The sequence below is a fragment of the Homo sapiens genome, chromosome 22 (assembly GCF_000001405.40).
Source record: "Homo sapiens chromosome 22, GRCh38.p14 Primary Assembly".
NCBI lineage: Eukaryota > Metazoa > Chordata > Mammalia > Primates > Hominidae > Homo > Homo sapiens.
Genome location: NC_000022.11, coordinates 19326025 through 19350684, shown reverse-complemented (window position 1 = coordinate 19350684; position 24660 = coordinate 19326025). Strand labels below are relative to the sequence as shown.

At 42.9% G+C, this 24660-nt stretch overlaps 1 protein-coding gene and 1 long non-coding RNA gene across 4 annotated transcripts in view; one reads left to right on the top strand and one right to left on the bottom strand.

The window, feature by feature from the left end:
• HIRA (histone cell cycle regulator) overlaps positions 1–19987 on the top strand; it is a 101036-nt gene extending 81049 nt beyond the window's left edge. The window contains exon 25 of the mRNA NM_003325.4: positions 19129–19987. Within this exon, the coding sequence (NP_003316.3) occupies positions 19129–19245 (117 nt within the window). The 3' untranslated portion in view covers positions 19246–19987. The remainder of the gene's footprint in view (positions 1–19128) is intronic.
• Positions 1–24660, bottom strand: part of LOC105372859 (uncharacterized) — a 59606-nt gene that overhangs the window by 868 nt on the left and 34078 nt on the right. The window contains exons 2-5 of one of the 3 annotated variants that reach the window (XR_938002.3): positions 22112–22287; positions 20605–20710; positions 19003–19131; positions 16942–16983 (exon numbers count right to left, since the gene is read on the bottom strand). This is a non-coding gene — a long non-coding RNA (uncharacterized LOC105372859). Of the gene's footprint in view, positions 1–16652; positions 16690–16941; positions 16984–19002; positions 19132–20604; positions 20711–22111; positions 22288–24660 lie in introns of those variants that run through there. The other 2 variants (XR_938001.3, XR_938000.3) reach the window with 2 other exon arrangements.

Here is a 24660-nt window from a genome sequence, read left to right as displayed (position 1 = left end):
GTTGGCACAGAGGTGTCATGAACTAAAATAGAAAAACAGTCAGGGAGTATCTTCTGTAACAGTCCCAGGAAGAGATGAAGGTGACTTGGATCAGTGTGGTGGCCATGGAGAGGGGAAAGGAGACAGATTCAAGATGTATTTTGGAGGCAGAACCAATAAGATTTGATGGGTGGTTGGATGTGGAAGGAAAAAGCATAATGAACATGTGGCACCTCCAGGTTCAGCTGCAAAAAATGGATGCCAGAACCATTCATTAAATCAAGAAGGTAACAGGTTGGTGGGGGATGGGAGAAGGTATGGATCTAAGAGTTAGCTCACAGCTTCATTCAATCATTGAGCAATTACTGATGGGGCACCTCCCCTGGCCAGGCATGTTATAGGCATAGGGCAGGCAGCAGTGAATGGGGCAGGCAGCAGTGAATAAGGCAGACTGAGTCCCTGCATTCATGGATCTGCTTTCTTATGGAGAGAGACAGACTAAGCAAATGAGAAGAGGTATCTGTAGTGTCTTGAGTGGTGATGGATGCCATGGGAAAAAAATTAAAAGGGCAGGGAGATATAGAATACTGGCAGGCTGCTATTTCATGCTGGGCAATTAAGAAAGGCCAGGCTAAGCTTTCAGTGAGCCAAGATCGCGCCACTGCACTCCAGTCTGGGCAATAGAGCGAGACTCCGTCTCAAAAAAAAAAAAAGAAAAGAAAAAGGAAAGGCCAAACAAACAGATAAGCAGAGACCAGAAAAGGTGAGGGATGAAACCATGCATATATTTGGGAGAAGAACATCCAGGCAGAGGGAAAGTGCAAAGGCCTGAGGTGGGAGAGCTTGGAGTTTAAAAGGAACAGCCCAACGGGATGGTAGCAGAAGGGTGAAAGGAGTTGACATCAAAAGGCCAGAGGGTCAGCCCTCACAGGCCTTGGTGTGTACAGAGGCCTAATTTTTTATTCCATTCTTAAATTTGACTGTGGTGTACCTTAATTGACTAGGTACTTTGAATCCTGGGTTCAAAGTCAAATCCCCTTAAGTCCCTGAAGGCATTGTTCCATAGACTTTGCATCCAGTGTTATTGCTAAAAAAATCTATTGTAAATCTAATTTCCATTGCTTTGTAAGTACTTTGGGATCCTATCTTGGTGTTTTGAAGATTCAGAAAGCTCATTCATTCTGTAGAAACAGAGACAGAGACCAGTGATTTTCTTCGGTTTTCCTATTTGATTATTTCTTCCCTTTCATTTTCCCCATCATCTGAGAGATGTAATATCCTCTCTTTTTAAAATCAGCTGTATCGCCGGGCACAGTGGCTCATGCCTGTAATCCCAGCACTTTGGGAAACCGAGATGGGTGGATCACCTGAGGTCAGGAGTTCAAGACCTGCCCGGCCAACATGCTGAAATCCCGTCTCTACTAAAAATAAAAATTAGCTGGGTGTGGTGGCACACTCCTGTAATCCCAGCTACTGGGGAGGCTGAGGCAGGAGAATCGCTTGAACCGGGAGGAGGAGGCTGCAGTGAGCCAAGATCACACCACTGCACTCCATCCTGGGAGACAGAGCAAAACTCCGTCTCAAGAAAAGGAAAATTTAAAAAAAAGTAAAATCAAGTATCAGGCCAGGCGTGGTGGCTCATGCCTATAATCCCAGCCTTTTGGGAGGCCAAGATGGGCGGATCACCTGAGGTCAGGAGTTTGAGACCAACCCAGCCAACATGGTGAAACCCCGACTCTACTAAAAAAAAAAATTAGCTGGGCTTGGTGACATGTGCCTGTAATCCCAGCTACTCGGGAGGCTGAGGCAGGAGAATCGCTTGAACCTAGGAGGCAGAGCCAAGATCACGCCATTGTACTCCAGCCTGGGCGACAAGAGCGAAACTCCATCTCAAAAAATAAAAAATAAAAAGGCCAAGCGTGGTGGCTCACTCCTGTAATTCCAGCACTTTGGGAGGCCAAGGGGGTCGGATCATGAGGTCAGGAGTTTGAGACCAGCCTGGCCAACTTAGTGAAACCCCATCTCTACTAAAAATACAAAAAATTAGCCAGGCATGGTGGCGGGCACCTGTAATCCCAGCTACTTGGGAGGCTGAGGCAGGAGAATCACTTGAACCCAGGAGGCGGAGGTTGCAGTGAGCCGAGATCGCGCCATTGCACACCAGCCCAGGCGACAGGGTGAGACTCTGTCTCAAAAAAAAAAAAATCAGCTGTATCATTTTTCATGCTTTCAATTCTTCACCAGATTTTTAATTTAGGCTTTTATCTACTTTAGCATAATAATCTTAGTTATTTTAAAGTTTTATGTCTGATAATTCTAGTATCAGGAGCCTTTGCAGATCTATTTCCGTTGCCTATAAATATTTCTGCTGTTTCTCATTCAGATTGTCTTATCTCCTTATGTACCTGGTTATTTTTTACTATCTGGTGGACATAGTATTTGAAAAATTTATTGTAGAAATAGTTTGAGGCCTAAGATGATGTTATCTTCTTCTACAGAACACTTCTATTTGCTTCTGCCAACTTCTTGGGAGTAGCACTGTAGGGACTCCATGATCCCGTTCAGGGACTGAGGTTTTCTAGGCTGCCTGGAACTCAAAGCTGGGTGCCAGCTGGTATAGAGGCTAGTTTACTTCCAGTTGACGCTTATTCTAGGTTGCGTACCTTTGGAATACCAGGACAAAGGAGGGGTAAGTTAACAGGGCCCTAGCCCCTGCTATGGTCCCCCTAGGCCCTCAAGTTGTTTGTTTGTTTTGTTTGTTTATTTTGAGACGGAGTCTCGCTCTGTCACCCGGGCTGGAGTACAGTGGCACAATATCAGCTCACTGTAACCTCTGCCTCCTGGGTTCAAGCAATTCTCCTGCCTCAGCCTCCCAAGTAGCTGGAATTACAGGCACACACCACTACACCCAGCTAATTTTTATTTTTTTAGTAGAGGCGGGGTTTCACCATGTTGACCAGGCTGGTCTCAAACTCCTGACCTCAGGTGATCTACCCACCTCAGCCTCCCGAAGTGCTGGGATTATAGACATGAGCCACCGCTCCCAACCCAGGCCCTCAAGTTTGGTAGAAGTTCTGCCTAGCTTCTTCCTCATGGATAAATATTTCCAAAGCAAAGGCATCCCTCTTTGGATCTCTGTCTTCCCCACAGCATGGCTCAGTCATTTATCATTAACACATTAGCTCTCAGAAGTTTGCTGCTATTTGTCCACCTTTTTTTCTTTGTTGTCAGTGAGGAAGGCTGTTCTGAATTGCATGGTCTATTAATGGAAGGAAAGGCTTGTGATATCTTCTCAGATATCAGCTGCAGATGCTAACATTTTCTAAAATAATTTGTTCCCTGAATTATCTGGCTTTTCTGGGTTCAATCTTTGATTTGTTCATTGCGGTCTTTACTTGAGGACATTTTACCCTATGTGGAAATCCTTGGTTATCAGGTTGTAGTTACAAGTGAAGAACCCAGATTGATAGTGGCCTCAGGTTTCCTTTTCAAGAGTACAGCTGTTCGCTTAGCACAGCTTAGCACATCTCACCTCCAGGACAGGCCGATGAGCCATCTACTAGAGTGGGAGGCAGGCAGAAACCTGCCCAGTGAGTCCCCCTCATGGGCAGGTTGTGGAGCTTCATTCTGTCAGCCTTAGCCCAAGATGCCCGCCAAAGCTCACCATAGTAGTTCTCTTTCTCAGCCTGAAAGTAAGCACTCTGGGCCGTGGTGGTATAGACAGAAGGAGCCACAAACAGGCTACCATTTGATGGCCATGATTTCTTCTTCTCCCCTCCTTCCTGCTGATTATTCTTACCAACTCCAAACAGGACACTTCACTGAGGCTCTGCCTAAGAGAATCTGTGGTTCCCCTCCCAGAGTCACCTGTCAGTATGTACCACCCGCTTACCACCCTCTGTAAAGGTCTCCTAGCCCTTCCCTCATGGTTACAAGGTGGCTTCCATGTCCAAGATCAGGGAAGGAGAGAGAACAGGAGAAATCTGGCAACAGCAACATTCACCCTCTCATCAGAAAAGAAACGCTCTCCCAGAAACTAGTCTGTGCCTCACAGGCAACCATTAAATCACTTGGGCACCCACCTCTGCTGCAAGGGAGGCTGGGAAAATGAGCAGGTTTTCTCCCTCTGTACAAAGAATATGTAAGAGAAGAGGATTTAGAGCAGACGTAGACATAGCCAATCCCAGTGTCTTCTGCCAGGTCCTCTCCTGATCTCAACACTATTCTGAATTTGTTCCTTTTTTTCTGTATGTTTACTGTCTTTTCATCTAGATGTTGGGGCAGAGGAGATGAGTGAGCATGAGCCTTCTGTGCTCTTCTTGGGTTTATTTATCAACACTCTTTTATTTTATTTATGTGTTTATTTGAGACGAAGTCTCTCTCTGTCACCCAGGCTGGAGTGTGGAATGCAGTGGCCCACCTCAGCCTCCCAAAGTGCTGGGATTACAGGCGTGAGCCACCGTGCCTGGCCTTATTTATCAACATTTATGGTGAGAATTGGTCATTCAAGTGGAACTGATCCTTCAAATAACTGGGAAAATATAGCTGTGGTTGGAGGGTGGACTTCCAACCAGCCATGCTGACTCAGCAGCCCTCCCAAGAAGGCTTGTTAGGAGAGCATCATTTCACATGCTTAAGAGCCGCTTGTGTTTCCCTTTTTTGAACTATCTATTGAAATACTTGTTGCCATTTGTTTTTCTCAATGGTTTGTAGGAACTCTATGTATATTATAGGAGCTCTTTATATACTCTGATTTGAGCTGCCAGTGCACCACAGGGACACCAAAGGTTCAGATTTCTTTCAACTTCAAGGATCCTTTGCATGGTTCAGTGTGCATGGGAGGAAAATGAGAAGCAGAAGGTTGGGGCACTAAGCAAACACCTTTCAGGTTCCTGGGCTTTGTTCTGGCTCCAGCCTCCCCAGCCAGGCCCTGTTCTTAGGAAGCCTCCCTTTGCTGTGGTCTTCAGTGTAAGACAGGGGTCCCCAACCTCTGGGCCACAGACCAGTCAGCAGCAACATTAAATTCTCATAGGAGCACAAACCCTATTGTGAACTTCACATATGAGAGATCTAGGTTGTGTGCTCCTTATGAGAATCTAATGCCTGATGATCTGAGGTGGAACAGTTTTATCCTGAAACCGTCTTCCCCTCCCCCACTGGTCCATAAAAAAAAACCAGTCCTGGGTGCCGAAAAGGTTGGGGACTGCTGCTGTAAGACCTGTGGCAGTGGCCAGAGAGGTGGTGATTAAGTTGTGTGTTGCAGGCTGTACAAAGAGCTATACATCGCATCCTGAAAGAGTGGAAAAACCATCCTTTACTGAGAGCCGAAGGGTGAGGAAATATCAATAATACTTGGCTGCTCTTTACATTGCCTTCAGGCCAGAGGGCAAGTCCTCTTGCAGCTTCTTCCTAGTACCACAGGCAGGCAGAATGTTTTGCTTTGTTTATAGTAGTTTTTCGCTGAATCTTTAGGGTTTTCCATATATAAGATCATGTCATCTGTGAACAGAAATAATTTTACTTCTTTTTTCCCAATTTGGTTGCCTTTTATTTCTTCTCCTTGCCTAATTGATCTGTCTAGGACTCTTAATACTACGTTAAATATTAGTGCTGGAAGCAGGCATCCTTCTCTTGTTCCTGATATTAAAGGAAAAGCTTTTAGTCTTTTACCATTAAGTACGATGTTAGCTGTGGGCTTTTTATTTATGGTCTTTACTATGTCGAGATAGTTTTCTTCCATTCCTAGTTTGTTGAGTGCTTTTATCAAGAAAGAATGTTGCATTTTCTCAGATGCTTTTTCTGCATTAAGATGATCGTGTCATTTTAAAATTTTCTTTTATTTCATTAATGTGATGTATTACAGTGATTGGTTTTCATATGTTAAACCATTCTTGCATTCAAGGAATAAATCCCACTTGGTCATGGTGTATAATTCTTTTAATGTACTTTGGAATTCTGTTTGCTGGCATTTTGTTGAGGATTTTTGGGTCACTGTTTACAAAGGATATTGATCTAATAGTTTTCTTGTAGTATCTTTGTCTAGCTTTGTCAGGGTAATGCTGTCCTCATAGAATGAAATAGGAAGTGTTCCTACCTATTTTGGAAGGAGGATTGGTGTTAATTCTCTAAGTGTTTGGTAGAATACATCAGAGAAGCTATATGATCCTAGGCTTTTCTTTATGAGAGGGTTTGTTTTATTGATTCAGTTTTCTTGCTCATTAGAGATCCGTCCAGATTTTTAATTTCTTTATGAGCCAGTCTTGGTAAGTTGTTTCCATTTTATGTAGGTTATCAGATTTATTGTCATATAGTTGTTCATGCTGTTCTCTTATTTATAATCTTTTTTATTTTTGTGGCATTGGTTGTAATGTCCCTGCTTTCATTTTTGATTTTCATTATTTGGATCTTGTCTCTCTTTTTATTATGTAGTCTAGCTAAAAGTTTGTCAATTTTGTTCATCTTTTCAAAGAATCAACTTTTGGTTTCATTGATTATCTCTATTATTTTCCATTTATCTTGTCCCATTATCTTTATTATTTTCTTCTGCTAGCTTTAGGTATAGTTCTTTTTCTAGTTCCTTAAGGTGTAATGTTAGATTATTGATTTGAGATCAGCTTTCACTGCATACTGTAAGTTTTGGTATGTTGTATTTTCATTTTCATTTGTCTCACTTTGTTTAATAGTGTGTTTTTTCAGCCAGGCGTGGTGGCTCACACCTGTAATCCCAGCACTTTGGGAAGCTGAGGTGGGAAGATCACTTGAGGTCAGGAATTCGAGACCAGCCTGAGCAACATAGCAAGACTCTCTCTCTCTCTCTCTTTTTTTTTTTTCCCCTCACTGTGGCCTCAACCTTCTGGCTCAATCAATCCTCCTGCCTCTGCCTCCCGAGTAGCTGGGATTACAGGCGTGCACCACCACACCCAACTAATTGTTGTATCTTTTGTAGAGATGGGGTTTTCTCCATGTTGCCCAGGCTGGTCTCAAATTCCTAGGCTCAATCAATCCACCCGTCTCAGGCTCCCAAAGTGTTGGGATTACAGGTGTAAGCCACCACACCCAACCAACTCCATCTGTTTTTATAAAAATACATGAAATTTAAAATAACAGTGTGTTTTCCAACTTCCACGATGTTGTAGATTTTTGGAGACAGAGTCTGACTCTGCCACCCAGGCTGGAGTACATTGGTGTAATCTCGACTTACTTCAACCTCCACCTCCCAGGCTCAAGTGGGCCTCCCACCTCAGCCTCCTGAGTAGCTGGGACCACAGATGTGCGCCACCATGCCTGGCAAATTTTTTATTTTTATTTTTTTTCTTGGTAGAGGTGGGATTTTGCTGTGTTGCCCAGGCTGGTCCCAAACTCCTGAGCTCAAGCAATCCACCTACCTCAGCCTCCCAAAGTGCTGGGATTACAGGTGTGAGCCACTGCACCTGGCCTCTTTCTTTCTTTTGAATATGTCATCCCACTGACTATGCTGATAATCTTATTGAATATCCTATTTACATGAGTTGCTTTTTTTCTTTTTTTGACATTTTAGTGCACCCATCACCTGAGCAGTGTACACTGTACCCAATGTGTAGTCTTTTATCACTCACCCTCTTCACCCTTCCCCCTGAGTCCCCAAAGTCCATTACATCATTGTTATACCTTTGCATCCTCATAGGTTAGCTCCTACTTATAAGTGAGAACATATAATGTTTGGTTTTCCATTCCTGAGTTACTTCACTTAGAATAATGGTCTCCAACTCCATCCAGGTTGCTGTGAATGCCATTATTTCATTCCTTTTTAAGGCTGAGTAGTATTCCATGGTGTATATATACCACATTTTCTTTATCCACTCATTGGTTGATGGGCATTTAGACTGGTTCCGTATTTTTGCAGTTGCAAATGGTGCTGCTATAAACGTGTGTACAAGTGTATTGTTCACATAATGACTTCTTTTCCTCTGGGTAGATACACAGTAGTGGGATTGCTGGATCAAATGGTAGTTCTACTTTTAGTTCTTTAAGGAATCTCTGGCCAGGTGCAGTGGCTCATGCCTGTAATCCCAGCACTTTGGGAGGCTGAGGCGGAAAGATCACCTGAGGTCAGGAGTTCAAGACCAGCACAGCCAACATGGTGAAACCCTGTCTCTACTAAAAATACAAAAAATTAGCCAACCATGGTGGCGCATGCCTATAGTCCCAGCTACTCAGGAGGCTGAGGCAGGAGAATCACTTGAACCCAGGAGGCAGAGGTTCCAGTGAGCCGAGATCGTGCCACTGCATTCCAGCCTGGGTGACAGAGTGAGACTCCATCTCCAGAACGAGTCCCCATACTGTTTTCCACGGTGGTTGTACTAGTTTACATTCCCACCAGCAGTGTAAAAGTGTTCCCTTTTCACCACCTCCATGCTAATATCTATTTTTTTTATTTTTTAATTATGGCCATTCTTGCAGGAGTAAGGTGGTATGTCATTGTGGTTTTGATTTGCATTTCCCTGATAATTAGTGATGTTGAGCATTTTTTTCATATGTTTGTTGGTCATTTGTATATCTTCTTTTGAGAATTGTCTATTCATGTTCTTTGTCCACTTTTTAATGGGGTTATTTGTTTTTATCTTGCTGATTTGTTTGAGTTCCTTGTAGATTCCAGATATTAGTCCTTTGTCAGATGCATAGTTTGCAAATATTTTCTCCCACTCTGTGGGTTGTCTGTTTACTCTGCTGATTATTTCTTTTGCTGTGCAGAAGCTTTTAAGTTTAATTAGGTGCCATCTCTTTATCCTTGTTTTTGTTGCATTTGCTTTTGGGTTCGTAGTCATGAACTATTTGCCTAAGCCAATGTCTAGAAGAGTTTTTCCGATGTTATCTTCTAGAATTGTTGTGGTTTCAGATCGTAGATTTAAGTCTTTGATCCATCTTGAATTGATATTTGTATAAGATGAGAGATGAGGATCCAGCTTCATTCTTCTATATGTGGCTTGCCAGTTATCCCAGCACCACTTGTTGAATAGGGTGTTTGTTCCCCACTCTGTATTTTTGTTTGCTTTGTTGAAGATCTGTTGGCTGTAAGTATTTGGCTTTATTTCTGGGTTCTCTATTCTGTTCCATTGGTCTGTTTGCCTATTTTTATACCAGTACCATGCTGTTTTGGTGGTAACTATATCCTTGTAGTATAGTTTGATGTCGGGTAATGTGATGCCTCCAGCTTTATCTTGCTTTGGCTATTTGGGCTCTTTTGTTCCATATGATTTTTTTTTTTTTTTTTTTTTTTTGAAACAGGGTCCCACTCTGTCACCCAGGTTGGAGTGCAGTGGCACAATCTCGGCTCATGGCAAACTCTGCCTCCAAGGCTCAAGTGATCCTGCACCTCAGCCTCCTGAGTAGCTGGGACTACAGCATGTGCCAGCACACCCGGCTAATTTTTGTATGTTTTGTAAAGATAGGGTTTCACCATGTTGTCTAGGCTGGTCTCGAACTCCTGGGCTCAAGTGATCTGCCCATTTTAGCCTCCCAAAGTGCTGGGATTACAGACGTGAGCCACCACACCCAGCTGATTTTTGTATATTTTGTAGAGACAGAGTTTCGCCATGTTGCCCAGACTGGTTTCGAACTCCTGGGCTCAAGTGATCTGCCTACCTTAGCCTCCCAAAGTGCTGGAATTACAGGCGTGAGCCACCACACCCTGCTGTGGTTTCTTGTGAATTTTAGGGTTGTTTTTTCTAGTTCTGTGAAGAATAATCATGGTAGTTTGATGGGAATTGCATTGAATCTGTAGATTGCTCTTAGCAGTATGGTCATTTTTAATTTTACCTACCATGAGCTTTAGATGTGTTTCCATTTATTTGTGTTGTCTATGATTTCTTTCAGCAATCAGTTTTTCAGTTTTTCTTGTAGAGATCTTTCACATCCTTGGTTAGGTATATTCCGAAGTATTTTATTTTATTTTATTTGCAGCTATTGTAACAAGAGGTTCTTGATTTGATTCTCAGCTTGGTCATTGTTGGTATACAGCAGTGTTACTGATTTGTGTACATTGATTTTGTACCCTGAAAGTTTACGGAATTCATTTATTAGATCTAGGAGCTTTTTGGATGAGTCTTTAGGGTTTTCTAGGTATACGATCATATCATTGGCAAACAGCGATATTTTGACTTCCCCTTTACATATTTGGATGCCCTTTATTTCTTTCTCTTGTCTGTTTGCTCTGGCTAGGACTTCCAGTACAATGTTGAATAGCAGTGGTGACAGTGGGCATCCTTGTCTGTTAGAGTTCTCAGGGGGAACCCTTTTATCTTTTCCCTTTTCGGTATAAAGTCAACTGTGAGTTTGTCATAGTGGCTTTTATTACCTTGAGGTATTTCCATTCTATGACGGTTTTCCTGAGGGCTTTAATCGAAGGCATGCTAGATTTTGTCAGATGCTTTTTCGGCATCTATTGAGATGATCATATGATTTTGTTTTTAATTCTGTTTATGTGATGTATCTCATTTATTGACATGTGTACGTTAAGTCTTCCCTGTATCCCTGGTATGAAACCCACTTGATCATGGTGTATTATCTTTTTGATACACCATTTGATTCGATTAGGTAGTATTTTGTTGAGGATTTTTGCATCTATGTTCACCAGGGATATTGGTCTGTAGATTTCATTTTTTGTTATGTCCTTTCCTGGTTTTGGTATTAGGGTGATACTGGCTTCATAGAGTGATTTAGGGAGATTCCCTCTTTCTCTGTCTTTTGTAATAGCTTCAGTAAGATTGGTACAAATTCTTCTTTGAATGTTCAATAGAATTCAGCTGTGAATCCATCTGGTCCCAGACTGTTTTTTTGTTGGCAATTTTTAAATTACTGTTTCAGTCTTGCTACTTATTATTGGTCTGTTCAAAGTTTCTATTTTTTCCTGAATGAATCTAGGAGGGTTATATATTTCCAGGAATTTATCCATTTCCTCTAGATTTTCTAGTTTGTGTGCATAAAGGTGTTCATAGTAGTCTTGAATGATCTTTTCTATTTCTGTGGTATCAGTTGTAATATCTTTCATTTTGTTTCTAATTTAGCTTAATTGGATCTTTTTTTTTTTTTTTTGAGACGGAGTCTCGCTCTGTCGCCCAGGCTGGAGTGCAGTGGTGCATCTCGGCTCACTACAACCTCTGCCTCCCAGGTTCAAGCAATTCTCAGGCCTCAGCCTCCCAAGTAGCTGGGACTACAGGCATGCGTCACCACACCCAGCTAATTTTTTTCTATTTTTGATAGAGACGGGGTTTTGGCATTTTGGCCAGGCTGGTCTTGAACTCCTGACCTCAAGTGATCCTCCTGCCTTGGCCTCCAAAATTGCTGGGATTACAGACACGAGCCACCGTGCTTGGCCTCTTTCATACTTTTTGATGTAAGCATTTAATGCTATCAACTTTCCTCTTAGCACCACTTTTGCTGTGTCCCAGAGGTTTTGATAAGCTGTGTCATTATTCAGTTCATAAAACTTTTTAATTTCCATCTTGATTTCATTGTTTACCCAAAGATCATTCAGGAGCATATTTTTTAATTTCCATGTATTTGTATAGTTTTGAGGGTTCCTTTTGGAGTTAATTTCCAATTTTATTTTACTGTGGTCTAAGAGGGTACTTGATATAATTTCGATTTTCTTAAGTTTATTGAGAGTTGTTTTGTGGCCTATCATATGGTCTTTCTTGGAGAATGTTCCATGTGCTGATGAAAAGAATGTATATTCTGCAGTTGTTGGGTAGAATGTTCTGTAAATATGTGTTAAGTCCATTTGTTCTAGGGTATAGTGTAAGTCCATTGTTTCTTTGTTGCTTTTCTGTCTTGATGACCTGTCTAGTGTTGAAGTCCCCGCTGTTACTGTGTTGCTGTGTATCTCATTTCTTACGTTGAGTACTAATTGTTTTATAAATTTGGGAGCTCCCGTGCTAGGTGCATATATATTTAGGATTGTGATATTTTCCTGTTGGACTGATCCTTTTATCATTATGTAATGTCCCTTTTTGTCTTTTTCAACTATTGTTGCTTTAAAGTCTGTTTTGTCTGATATAAGAATAGCTATTTCTGCTCGCTTTTGGTTTGTATTTGCATGGAATATCTTTTTTCACCCCTTTACCCTCAACTTATGTGAGTCCATATGTGTTAGCAGATATTTGGTTGGTGGATTTGTATCCATTCTGCCATTCTGTATCTTTTAAGTGGAGCATTTAGACTATTTACATTCAATGTTAGTATCGAGATGTGAGGTACTGTTTTATTTACCATGCTTGTTTTTACCTGAATACCTTCTTTTTTTGTTGGTTTTTTTTTTTTCATTTTGTTATTGTTTTATAGACCCTGTGAGTTTTATGCTTTAAGGAAGTTCTATTTTGGTGTATTTCAAGGTTTTGTTTCAAGATTTAGAACTCCTTTTAGCATTTCTTGTAGTGCTGGCTTGGTGGTGGCAAATTCTCTCAGCATTTGTCTGAAAAAGACTTTATGCCTCCTTCATATATGACACTTAATTTTGCTGGATACTAAATTCTTGGCTGGCAGTTAGTTTGTTTGAGGAAGCTAAAAATAGGAACCCAAACCCTTCTGGCTTGTAGGGTATCTGCTGAGAAATCTGCTGTTAATCTGATAGGTATTCTGGCCAGGCGCAGTGGCTCATTCGTGTAATCCCAACACTTAGGGAGGCCAAGGTGGGTGGATCATTTAAGGTCAGGAGTTCAAGACCAGCCTGGCCAACACGGTGAAACCCCACCTCTAATAAAAATACAAAAATTATCCAGGCCTGGTGGCAGGGGCCTGTAGTCCCAGCTACTTGGGAGGCTGAGGCAGGAGAATTGCGTGAACCAGGGCGGCAGAGATTGCAGTGAGCCAAGATTGCACCACTGCACTCCAGCCTGGATGACAAAGCAAGACTCTGTCTCAAAAAAAAAAATCCGATAGGCTTTCGTGTATAGGTTACCTGATGCTTTTGCCTTACAGCTCTTAAGATTCTTTCCTTTGTCTTGACTTTAGATAACCTGATGACTGTGTACCTGGGTGATGATCTTTTTGTGATAAATTTCCCAGGTGTTCTTTGAGCTTCTTGTATTTGGATGTCTAGATCTCTAGCAAGGTCAGGGAAGCTTTCCTCAACTATCCCCACAAATACGTTTTTCAGACTTTTAGATTTCTCTTCTTAGGAACACCATTTATTCTTACTCTTAGGTTTGGCCATTTAACATAATCCCAAATTTCTTGGAGGCTTTGTTCATTTTTTTAAAAAATTATTTTTTCTTTGTTTTTGTCTGATTCAAAGTCTTGTCTTTGAATTCTGAAGTTCTCTCTTCTACTTCTTTGATTCTATTGTTGAAACTTTCTAGTGCATTTTGTATTTCTCTAAGTGTGTCTTTTATTTCCAGAAGTTTTGATTTTTGATTTTTTGATTTTTTCTTTATGATACCGATTTCTCTGGAGCATTTTTCATCCATATCCTATATATTTTTTAAAATTTCTTGAAGTTGATTTTCACCTTTGGTATCTCCTTGAGTAGCTTAATAATCAGCCTTCTGAATTCTTTGGCAATTCAGAGATCACGCCACTGCACTCCAGCCTGGACAACAGAGCGAGACCCTGTCTCAAAAAAAAAAGAAAAAGAAAAAGCCAAAAAGTTCTGCCTTTTTAAGCCAAATAATGAAAATGTACTTTGTAATTATTCTTGGTTTGGATCCATTGCTGAGGAGCTAGTGTGGTCTTTTGGAGGTATTATAGAACCTTGTTTTGTCATTATTGCCAGAATTACTTTTCTGATTACTTCTCATTTGGGTAGACTAGTTCAGTGGAAAAATCTGGAACTCAGAGGCTGCTGTTGAGATTATTTTGTCCCACAGGGTGATCCCTTGATTTGGTGCACTTCCCCTTCCCCTAGGGATGGAGATTCCTATGAGCCAGACTGCGGTGATTATTATTGCCCTTCTGGGTCTAGCCACCCAGTGGGGCTACCAGGCTCTGGGCCCATGCTGGGGAACGTCTGCAAAGAACCCGGTGATGTGATCCATCTTCAGATCTCCCAGCTGTGGATACCAGCACCTGCTGTGGTGGTGGTGCCAGGGGAATGGCGTAGACTCTGTGAGAGTCCTTGTTTGTAGATATGTTTAGTGTGCAGGCTTTCTCAAATGCTGGTTATGCTACCAGTGAAGTCATCATGTGGACACACTCAGGACCACTGGTTAGAAAGGATGTTGCAGGCAGTGGAATTAGCTGTTGTTTTTCTCCTTCCTTGGAGCAGGGTTGTTCTGTTATGAATTGCTGTAATGTCCTGAGTTAATTGGCCTCCAGCCAGGAGATGGCACTTTTGAGAGAGCACCAGAGTTTTTCACCTGTCTTGTGGAATTTGCAGCAGCCTGCCACTTCTTTCAAAGGATCTGTGATTTCTTTCGGTCTTCCTGGTGTGCTTTTGCAGTGGTTCCTGAATTCTCTACTCAAATTACTGGCCAGATGAGATCACCTAGGGTTCAAGGTCCTCTTCCAAGCTCAGTCGTTATTGGAATAGCAGAATTCATTTCCTTGTTAGCTTTCCACCTGCCTCCTCCATCTTTAAGCCAGCAATTGTGCGTGTAGTTCTTCACAAACTTCAAATCCCTCTCATGAGTCACTTTTTTTTTGCCACTTTCAAGATTGTCTCTTTTGAGAATTATAAAGTATCTAAGAATAAATCTAACAAAGGATGTACATAGCCTATATGCTAAGAATTATAAACGTTTACTTAAAGTCATTAAAGAAAACCTGGACAAACGATGAGAAAGTGCAGTACAGTAAAAGACGCCAACCGTTTCTAAACAGACCTACTGACTCAATGCCTCTCTAATCAAATGCCCACTAGAGGTTTCAATGAAACTTGACAAGCTAATTCAACAATTTATATGGAGCAGTAAAAAGCCAAGAATAGTTAAGACATTCACTATGCTACCAGATATTTGGGTTTATTATGAAGCCGGAGTAATTTAGATACTTTGCTATATGAGAGAGAAGACAAAACAGATACAGTGGGAAAAATAGGGGGGGCTATTCAATAAATGGAGTTTAGGAAACTGGTTATTTATATGTAACTAAGTAAAAGCAGATCTTCAGTTCATAAAAATATACCTCCAAAGGGTTAAGAATTAAATGTCAAAAGTGTTCATCTAAATGTCAAAATGTAAAAAAGTTCTCGTTCGGCGCGGTGGCTCACGCCTGTAATCCCAGCACTTTGGGAGGCCGAGGTGGACAGATCACTTGAGGCCAGGAGTTCAAGACCAGCCTGGCCAACGTGGCGAAACCCCATCTCTACTAGAAATACAAAAATTAGCCGGGTGTGGTGGCACATGCCTGTAGTCCCAGCTACTCAGGAGGCGAAGACACAAGAATTGCTTGAACCTGAGAGGCAGAGGTTGCAGTGAGCCAAGATCACGCCACTGCACTCCAGCCTGGGCAACAGAGCGCAAGACCCTGTCTCAAAAAAAAAAAAAGTCAAAAAGTTCTGCCTTTTTAAGCCAAATAATGAAAATGTAGTTTGTAATTATAACATATGTAGAAGTGAAGTGGCATGACAGCAGTATCACAGACGCCAGGAGTGGGGATATGAAAGTATACCATTAAAAGATTTTTACACATTATGCAAAGTGATATAATACTTGAAGACAGACTATGATAAGTAAAGGCATATACTGTATGTTATATGCCCTAGAGCAACCACCAAAACCAAAAAATAAAACTCATGCACATACACATACAAATCCCAAAGCAGTAAAAAGAATCGTAGCTAAAAAACTAACAAATAGATAAAATTGAATGATAGAAAATAATACATTCATTCAAAAGAAGGCAGAAAAACATACATAGGATGGTAGATTTAAACCCTAATATATCAATAATCATTAAATATAGGTCTAAAAGGCATAGATTATCAGATTAGAATTAATAACAACCAGCTGTATGCTGCTTATAAGAAACCCAGCTTACATGTAATAACACAATGGCTTAAAAGTAAAAGGACTGCCGGGTGCGTTGGTTCATGCCTTAATCCCAGCACTTTGGGAGGCCAAGGCAGGTGGATCACCTGAGGTCAGGACTGGCTAATTTTAGTATTTTTAGTGGAGATGGGGTTTCGCCATGTTGGCCAGACTGGTCTCGAACTCCTGACCTCAAGTGATCCAGCCGCCTCAGCCTCCCAAAGTGCTGGGATTATAGGCGTGAGCCACCGCGCCTGGCCTAATTTTTGTATTTTTAGTGGAGATGGGGTTTCGCCATGTTGGCCAGACTGGTCTCGAACTCCTGGCCTCAAGCGATCTGCCCGCCTTGGCCTCCCAAAGTGCTGAGATTACAGGCATGAGCCACTGTGCCCATCAGACATAAGACTTTAAAATAAATGTCTTAAAAAATGCTCAAGGAGAATACAGACAACTAAACAAAATCAGGAAAACTATATATGAAGAAAATGAGGGCCGGGTGCAGTGGCTCATGCCTGTAATCCCAGCACTTTGGGAGGCCAAGGCGGGCGGATCACAAGGTCAGGAGATCGAGACCATCCTTGCTAACATGGTGGAACCCCATCTCTACTAAAAATACAAAAAAATTAGCCAGGCGTGCTGGCCGGCGCCTGTAGTCCCAGCTACTCGGGAGGCTGAGGCAGGAGAATGGTGTGAACCCAGGAGGCGGAGCTTGCAGTGAGCCGAGATCACACCACTGCACTCCAGCCTGGGCGACAGATCGAGGCTCCATCTCAAGAAAAAAAAAAAGAAAATGAGAGTATCAACAAGGAGATAGAAATTCCAAAAAAAGAGCTAAACAGAAATCTGGAGTTTAAAAATACAATAACTGAATTGAAAAGTTCACTAGAAGGGTTCAACAGCAGACTCGAATAGACAAAAGGGTAAATCAGCAAACTTGAAAACAGGTCATTTGAAATTATCAAGTATGAGGAGCAAAAAGAAAATAGAATGAAGAAAAGCAAACAGAGTCTAAGAGACTTACCAGACACCATCCAAGTATACCCATGAATCCATAATGGGAGTTCTAGAAGTGTAAGAGAGAGAAAGGAGTAGAGAGCTTATTTGAAGAAATACTGGCGGAAATTTTCCAAATTTGAGGAAAGACGGGGGTCTACTAATACAAGAGCCTCAGTGAACTCTAAGTAGGAAAATCCCAAAGGAACCTGCACTGAGACACATTAGTCAAACTGTGGGAAAGGAAAGACAAAGAAAATCTCATCCTTGATGTCAGTTTTAAAATAGTATTCCTGATGTTTTCTTTATGGTAATAATTAACTTTTCCTTTCTATTTCTTTTTGAGCTAGTTTTGATAAATTATATTTTTCTAGGAATTTCTCCATTTTCTCTAAATGTTCAAATTTCTTAGCATAAAGTTGATAGTAATCATATCTTTTTCTTTCTTCTATATCTGTAGTTATGTCTCTTTTTATTTCTAATATTATTTCTTTAAGCTTTCTCTCTCTTTCTTGATTAATCCTGCCAGACGTTTGTCCATTAGTCTTTTCAAGAAATGACTTTTGCCAGGCATAGTGGCTCACGCCTTTAATCCCAGCACTTTGGGAGAACAAGGCAGGAAGATCACTTGAGCTCAGGAGTTTGAGATCAGCCTGGCCAACAAGGTGAAACCCCGCTCTACTAAATATATAAAAATTAGCCAGACATGGTGGCACACACCTATAGTCCCAGCTACTCGGGTAACTGAGGCAGGAGGATCACTTGAGCCTGGGAGGTTGAGGCTGCAGCGAGCTGTGATTGCACCACTACGCTCCAGCCTGGGCAACAGAGCTAGACCCTGTCTCAAAAAAATATATAAAATAAAATTGTTTTTCTAAATCTTCTCTATTAAATCTTTGTTTTCTATTTTATTTATTTCAATTTTTATTATCTCCTTTTTTTAAAAAAAATGTTTTTTTCTCATGTCCTTTTTTTCTTTAGTCTTTTTTTTTTTCCTTTCCCCTGATGGCTTTAGGTTGGAGTCTTGGCTTGTCATTCTTTCATGTTCTCTAATACAGTATAAGCTGTTGTTTCTAAATGCCTCTAAAGTGCCCACTTTTGCTGAATCTTACCACTTTTGGAGTATTTTGTGTTGGTTTTTTTTTTTTACCATTCTCTTGCAAGTCATTTTTAATTTCACTTAATTAGAATTCCCCTTTGACCTATGAGTTTTACTCAATTATTTTAGTTAGAAAACATGATCTATTTTAGGAGTTGACAAACTTTTCTGTAAAGGACCAGATAGTAAACATTTCAGCCTTTGCAAATCCATACCATCTCTGTTCTGACTATGGCACTCTGGTGTCAGAGCCTCCCTGTTGGAGTGTGGGCTGCTCCTCCATCAAACTTGGTCGCCAACAGCAGCCATTCTCCTGCTTATCCCATCTCTAACAACTTCTGTGTTACTCAAACCTAATAGTTACACTTATTCTTTACTGTCACTTCTAGACTTGTTGCAGGTATATCTGTCACCGTTAATTCAAGATCTTAGACCTTCTCGTCCAGTGTTAAAGTTGTCTGGCTGGTAGTTTTCCCTTTGGAGCAGCCGTACTGCTCAGGAGTCTGCTCTTTTGGTCTGTGCAGCAGAGACCCCAACTGGCAATGCTTGTTTCAGACTGTGGTGCCAATATGACCTGACGTGGAGGATGTTTAGGCAACTAAGCATAGTTTGGTCAGCATCCGAACATCCTCCACATCAGGGGATACTGGCACCTCATTTGTGTTGCTGGAAAACTAAAGCCAGTCACTGCCCCCCAGGTGCATCCTTGCCCTGGGGCTTGACCTCAAACCCCTGGCAAACATCAGCATGAGGGAACAGCCCCTCCTGAATGGCCAGCCACCTGACCCTCAGCCTTGTTCTACTCTCATCCTGCCCTGGATGGTCAGGGAACTGCTCAGTCACTATAAGGTCAGCAGTGGCTGTGCCCACGGATGGAGGAGCAGACCCTGCATTGGCCTCATCCTCCTTTATCCCCACACTGTGTTGCTCCCATTCCACCTGCCACTTCATCCTGCACATTTGCCCCACAGCTCTCTCACAGTTTCTCACCTGCAGAGGAATTGTTCTTTCCTTCTCCCGTGAGCAGACACAAGGTTCTCTGCCAGGCCAGGAAAGTCCCCACAATCTAGGTCTCTTCACTGACACTTGCACTCAGCTGTCACTCTGTGTCCACAGGGTCTGCGGAAGAGGGAGCTGCTGAAGGAGCTGCTACCAGTCATCGGGCAGAACCTCCGATTCCAGCGCCTCTTCACCGAGTGTCAGGAACAGCTCGACATCCTGAGGGACAAGTAGCCTGCCCCAGCCTGCCCTGGCTGCAGCAAGGGCAGGGCCACACTCTCGCCGCTGATGACATGCAGGACCGCCTCTCACCTGACCAGGCTGTAGGGGGAGGAGACACTGGCAGGAGATGTGCTGTCCTGCACCAGCGCCAGCCCAGCTCCCTGGGCAGATGTGCCCTGTGTCCTGGGTCTGACATTGCCTCAGGAGGGGGAAGCTCATCCCTCCCTCCAAGCCCCCGATGCGGAGCTAGGGCTGGAGCTCTGCCCAGGTGCCCTGGGGCCAGCAAGGCAGTCCCAGGCCTGCCGTCTCCAGCACGGCCCCAAGGTGGACACTAGCCCCTGCTGCTGCAGGCACCATGCTGCTTCAGCAGTGACGATTGAGCCATTTGTGAGAGAGAATCCGGAAGCGTTAGGTATTACAGCAGACTGACCTAAGACCTATGTAAAAGGAAAGCTGTTCCAACACACGGACTATTTTTGTACTAGAATTTGCTAACTTGTAATATTGAATTTCCTTTGGCCGATAATCAGGATTTCCCTATAAGTCACTTGGACATTGGTCACTTGTAGGAAATTTAAACTCTAATTATGACAGCTACACTGAAAAATAATTGTACTGAAATTAACTTGTCTATCTTCATTTGGTTTTAATTTTTAAATGTTTGTAAAAAGAGACTGTTTTGGGGGAATGGGGCAAAGGGGTGGGCGATTTCTTTTGTAAGTGTAAAATAAATGAACACGCATTGAATACCAAACCCTCCTGATTTCTCTTGCCTTTTCCTTCTAACTTTCATCCTCCCCACACAGTGCATCTCTCTCCTGAAGTAGATGGTGACAGAACATGAGAGCCAGAAGGGATCCTTTGTGTCATCTCATTCCCCCCTGTCATGGTTAATACTGCGTGTCAACTTGATTGGATTGAAGGATGCAATATTGATCCTGGATGTGTCTGTGAGGGTGTTGCCAAAGGAGATTAACATTTGAGTCAGGCTGGGGAAGGCAGACCCACTCTTAATCAGGTGGGCACCATCTAATCAGCTGCCAACGAATATAAAGCAGGCAGAAAAATGTGAAGAGATGAGACTTGCTTAGCCTCCCAGCCTACATCTTTCTCCCGTGCTGGATGCTTCCTGCCCTCAAACATCGGACTCCCAAGTTCTTCAATTTTGGGACTCGAACTGGCTCTCCTTGCTCCTCAGCTTGCAGATGGCCTATTGTGGGACCTTGTGATTGTGTAAGTTAATACTTAATAAACTTTCATATATATCTATTAGTTCTGTCCCTGTAGAGAACCCTAATATACCCCCCATGCAGAAATTCATTTCACAGTGTAGAGTGGTCACTTCTGTGGTCATGAAGCACCATAGGTCACCTTGCACACGTCATCTCACAAGTGAGGAGTCATGGTTCATGGTGGTTCATGGTTCTGGTCTTGCTGTGCCCCAGGTCCAGATCATACTGTGCACCAAGGGCTGCAGCTGTTTGGACAATTTCATGAAAGGAAATCAGTATTTACAGTCTTGGGTATATTGGAGAATTATCAGCAAAGTTGGAATTTTATTAGAAAGTGATCCAGACGTTGATCTACAGGAGAAGAAACAGAATCACAGAATCTTTAAGCACAGTGAGGGCTGAGTACCACCCACTCCTGGGTCCTGATCTTTGTCACCACCACCCAGTGTGTGGGTCTGAGCCTGGAGAAGGAGCCTTGGACTTGGAGTCAGAGGCCGGGGTAACTGACCACTGATCTCTGGCCTAGCAGCCATTCCACTCCATGTCTCACTCGGATGTCAAGTGGCTGGATGAGACCCAGGCATGTGTTCATGCCAAATAAAGCCAGGATAGTTTGTGTGAGTGTGTGTGTGTGTACACATAAAAAGCCAGGCTGCAAGTGGGACTCTTAAGGAATGAAGAGCCAGAGACTTGCTGTGCAGGTGAGGCAGCTCCCTTAGCAACTATGCAGCAAGACATTGCGAGCTTTGTGGAGCTCCAGGAAGCAATATATGCCAACAGGCCTGTCTGGGCTCCAAACCAGCAAACATCTGGGCCTCAGTTTTTTAGCTGTCAAATAGAGATTGAGACTAAAAAAATCTGCACTGGGGTCGGGCACAGTGGCTCACACCTATAATCCCAGCACTCTGGGAGGCCAAGGTGGGCAGATCACGAGGTCAGGAGTTCGAGCCAGCCTGACCAACATGATGAAACCCCCGTCTCTACTAAAAATACAAAAATTAGCTGGGTGTGGTGGCACACACCTGTAATCCCAGCTACTCGGGAGGCTGAGGCAGGAGAATTGCTTGAACCCGGGAGGCAGAGGTTGCAGTGAGCCAAGATCGCGCCACTGCACTCCAGCCTCGGCAACAGAGCAAGACTCCGTCTCAAAAAAAAAAAAAAAAAAAAAAATCTGCAACGTTATGAGGACAAATTGAGATTGTGTGGGCAAAGTCTTCGCACGTTTCCTCCCTTGAAGGAAACAGCAGTCGTGAGTGACTTTACCACCACCGTTTGGAGATGATGAAGAGATAAGCAGAAAACATCAAGGCCTTCAACTTACAGACAAGATGGAGTAACAGGGACCAGGTTGACCCTTCTACCTGAAACAACCAAAGGAGCCCGTCAAAAATACATGCAATGGTGGTTTCAAGACACTGGATACCATGCTGGGCACAGTAGCATGCGCTTGGAGACCTAGCTACATGGGAGGCTGAGGTGGGAGGACCATTTGAGGCCAGGAGTTCAAGGCTGCAATTAGCCATGATCATGGCACTGCACTCCAGCCTGGGCAACACAGGAAGATCCCATCTTGAAGAAAAAAAAGAAAAAGAAAAAAACAGAAGAAGACACTCCAGGTAGTACGCTTGGGCAATCATGGGGCTCACCTTGTTTGTATCCCATCTTGGCAGGGATTACTGTCCTTTGTTTTCTGATATCCAGAGAGAATTTCTAGGCCACAGCAAGAGGAGGCAGAACTGAGGTAGAGCCCAGTGGACTACTTGAGCTGAGGAAATGGAGCTGAGAGTCCAAGGAGACTAAGGCAGCACTGCTTCAGATCCACCTACCAAAAAATAAAAGCAAGACCCAAAATGATCACACTGTTTCCTGACCAACATAGTAAAACCTCCTCTCTACTAAAATACAAAATTAGCCAGGCATGGTGGCACATGGCTGTCATCCCAGATACTTGGGAGGCTGAGGCAGGAGAATCACTTGAACCTGGGAGGCAGAGGTTGCAGTGAGCCAAGATTGCACCACTGCATTCCAGCCTGGGCAACAAGAGTGAAACTCCGCCTCAAAAACAAAAAATTAGCCAGTCATGGTGGTACACACCTGTAATTCCAGCTACTCAGGAGGCTGAGGCATGAGAATCGCTTGAACCCAGGAGACAGGTTGCAGTGAGCTGAGATCGCGTCACTGCACTTCAGCCTGGGTGACAGTGCGAGACTGTCTCAAAAAAAATTTAAAAAGCTGGGCGCGGTGGCTCACGCCTGTAATCCCAGCACTTTGGGAGGCTGAGGCGGGCGGATCATGAGGTCAGGAGATCTAGACCATCCTGGCTAACACGGTGAAACCCCGTCCCTACTAAAAATACAAAAAATTAGCCTGGCGCAGTGGTGGGTGCCTGTAGTCCCAGCTACTCGGGAGGCTGAGGCAGGAGAGTGGCGTGAACCAGGGAGGCGGAGCTTGAAGTGAGCCAAGATAGCGCCACTGCACTCCGGCCTGGGCGAAAGAGTGAGACTCTGTCTCAAAAAAAATAAAAAAATAAAAAGAAAGAAAGAAAGAATTTATGACTAAGGACTCAAAAGCAAATACAACAAAAAAGTAGACAAATTAGACAAACTAAAAAGCTTCTGTACAGCAAAAGAAATAACAGTAACAACACATATCTATTAGAATGGCTTACATTTTTTAAAAAGACAATAATGTGTATTAGTGAGGATGTGGAGCAACTGGAACTCTCATGCATTGCTGGTAGGAAGAATAGTTACTTTGATAAACAGTGTGATCGTTCCTCATAGAATTAAACATATACTTGCTCTATAACCTAGGTACTCTATTCCTACGTCTGTTGGTTTTTCTCAAGATGGAGTACGTTTTCCTCAGGAGGATGGCTCAGGACAGGTGCAATGGCTCACGCCTGTAATCCCAGCACTTTTAGGAGGCCAAGGCAGGTGGATCACTTGAGGCCAGGAGTTCGAGACCAGCCTGGCCAACATGGTGAAACCCTGCCTCTACTAAAACTACAAAAAAAAAAAAAAAAAAAAAAAAATTAGCCAGGTGTGATGGCAGGTGCCTGTAGTCTTAGCTACTCAGGTGGCTGAGGCAGGAGAATCGCTTGAACCTGGGAAGCAGAGGTTGCAGTGAGCTGAGATTGTGCCACTGGACTCCAGCCTGGGTGACAGAGCAAGATTCCATCTCAAAAAAGAAAAGATTATGGCCAGGCACAGTGGCTCACGCCTGCAATCCCAGCACTTTGGGAGGCCAAGACCGGCGGATTACTTGAAGTCAGGAGTTCGAGACCAGCCTGGCCAAAATGGTGAAACCCTGTCTGTACTAAAAATACAAAAAATTAGCCAGGCATGGCGGCACGCACCTGCAATCCCAGCTACTTGGGAGGCTGAGGCAGGAGAATCACTTGAACCCAGGAGGCAGAGGTTGCAGTGCGCCGAGACCATGCCATTGCACTCCAGCCTGGGCAACAGAGCGAGACTCTCAAAAAAAAAGAAAAGGATGGCTCATGTTTTGCTTAAAAAAAAAAAAACGGCTTTACTGAAATAGTTAACAGCATGCGATTTACAATCTAATGATTTTCAGTGTAGTCACATCATATGTGCAGCCATCACCACAGCCATTATTAGAATCTTTTCATCACCTCAGTAAGAAACCCCATACACTTTAACCACAGCCATTATTAGAATCTTTTCATCACCTCAGTAAGAAACCCCATACACTTTATCATGCCCTATCCCCGATCCCCATCATTCTGAGGCAACCATCAACCTGCTTTCCGTCTCTATAGATTTGCTTATTCAGAACATTTCATATAAATTGAATCACAGAATATTGCTCTTGTCTGGCTGCTTTCACTTAGCATAATATTTTCAAGTTTCATCCATGTTGTAGCATGTATCACTATTCCACTTCTTTTTATGACCAAATAATATTCCATTGTATGCATCATTTTGCTTACCTGTTCATCTGTTGATGGACATTTGGATTGTTTCCACCTTTTGGCAATTATGCATAATGGTACTATAAACATCAGCGTACAAGTTTTTATGTGGAAATGTGTTTTCATTTCTCTCGGATATATAATATATAGACCTAGGAGTGGAATTGCTGAGCCGTATGATCACTCTATAACTAACTGTTTAACAAACTACCATTCTGCCTTCCAGTGTGGCTGCTCCATTTTATATTCATATCAGCA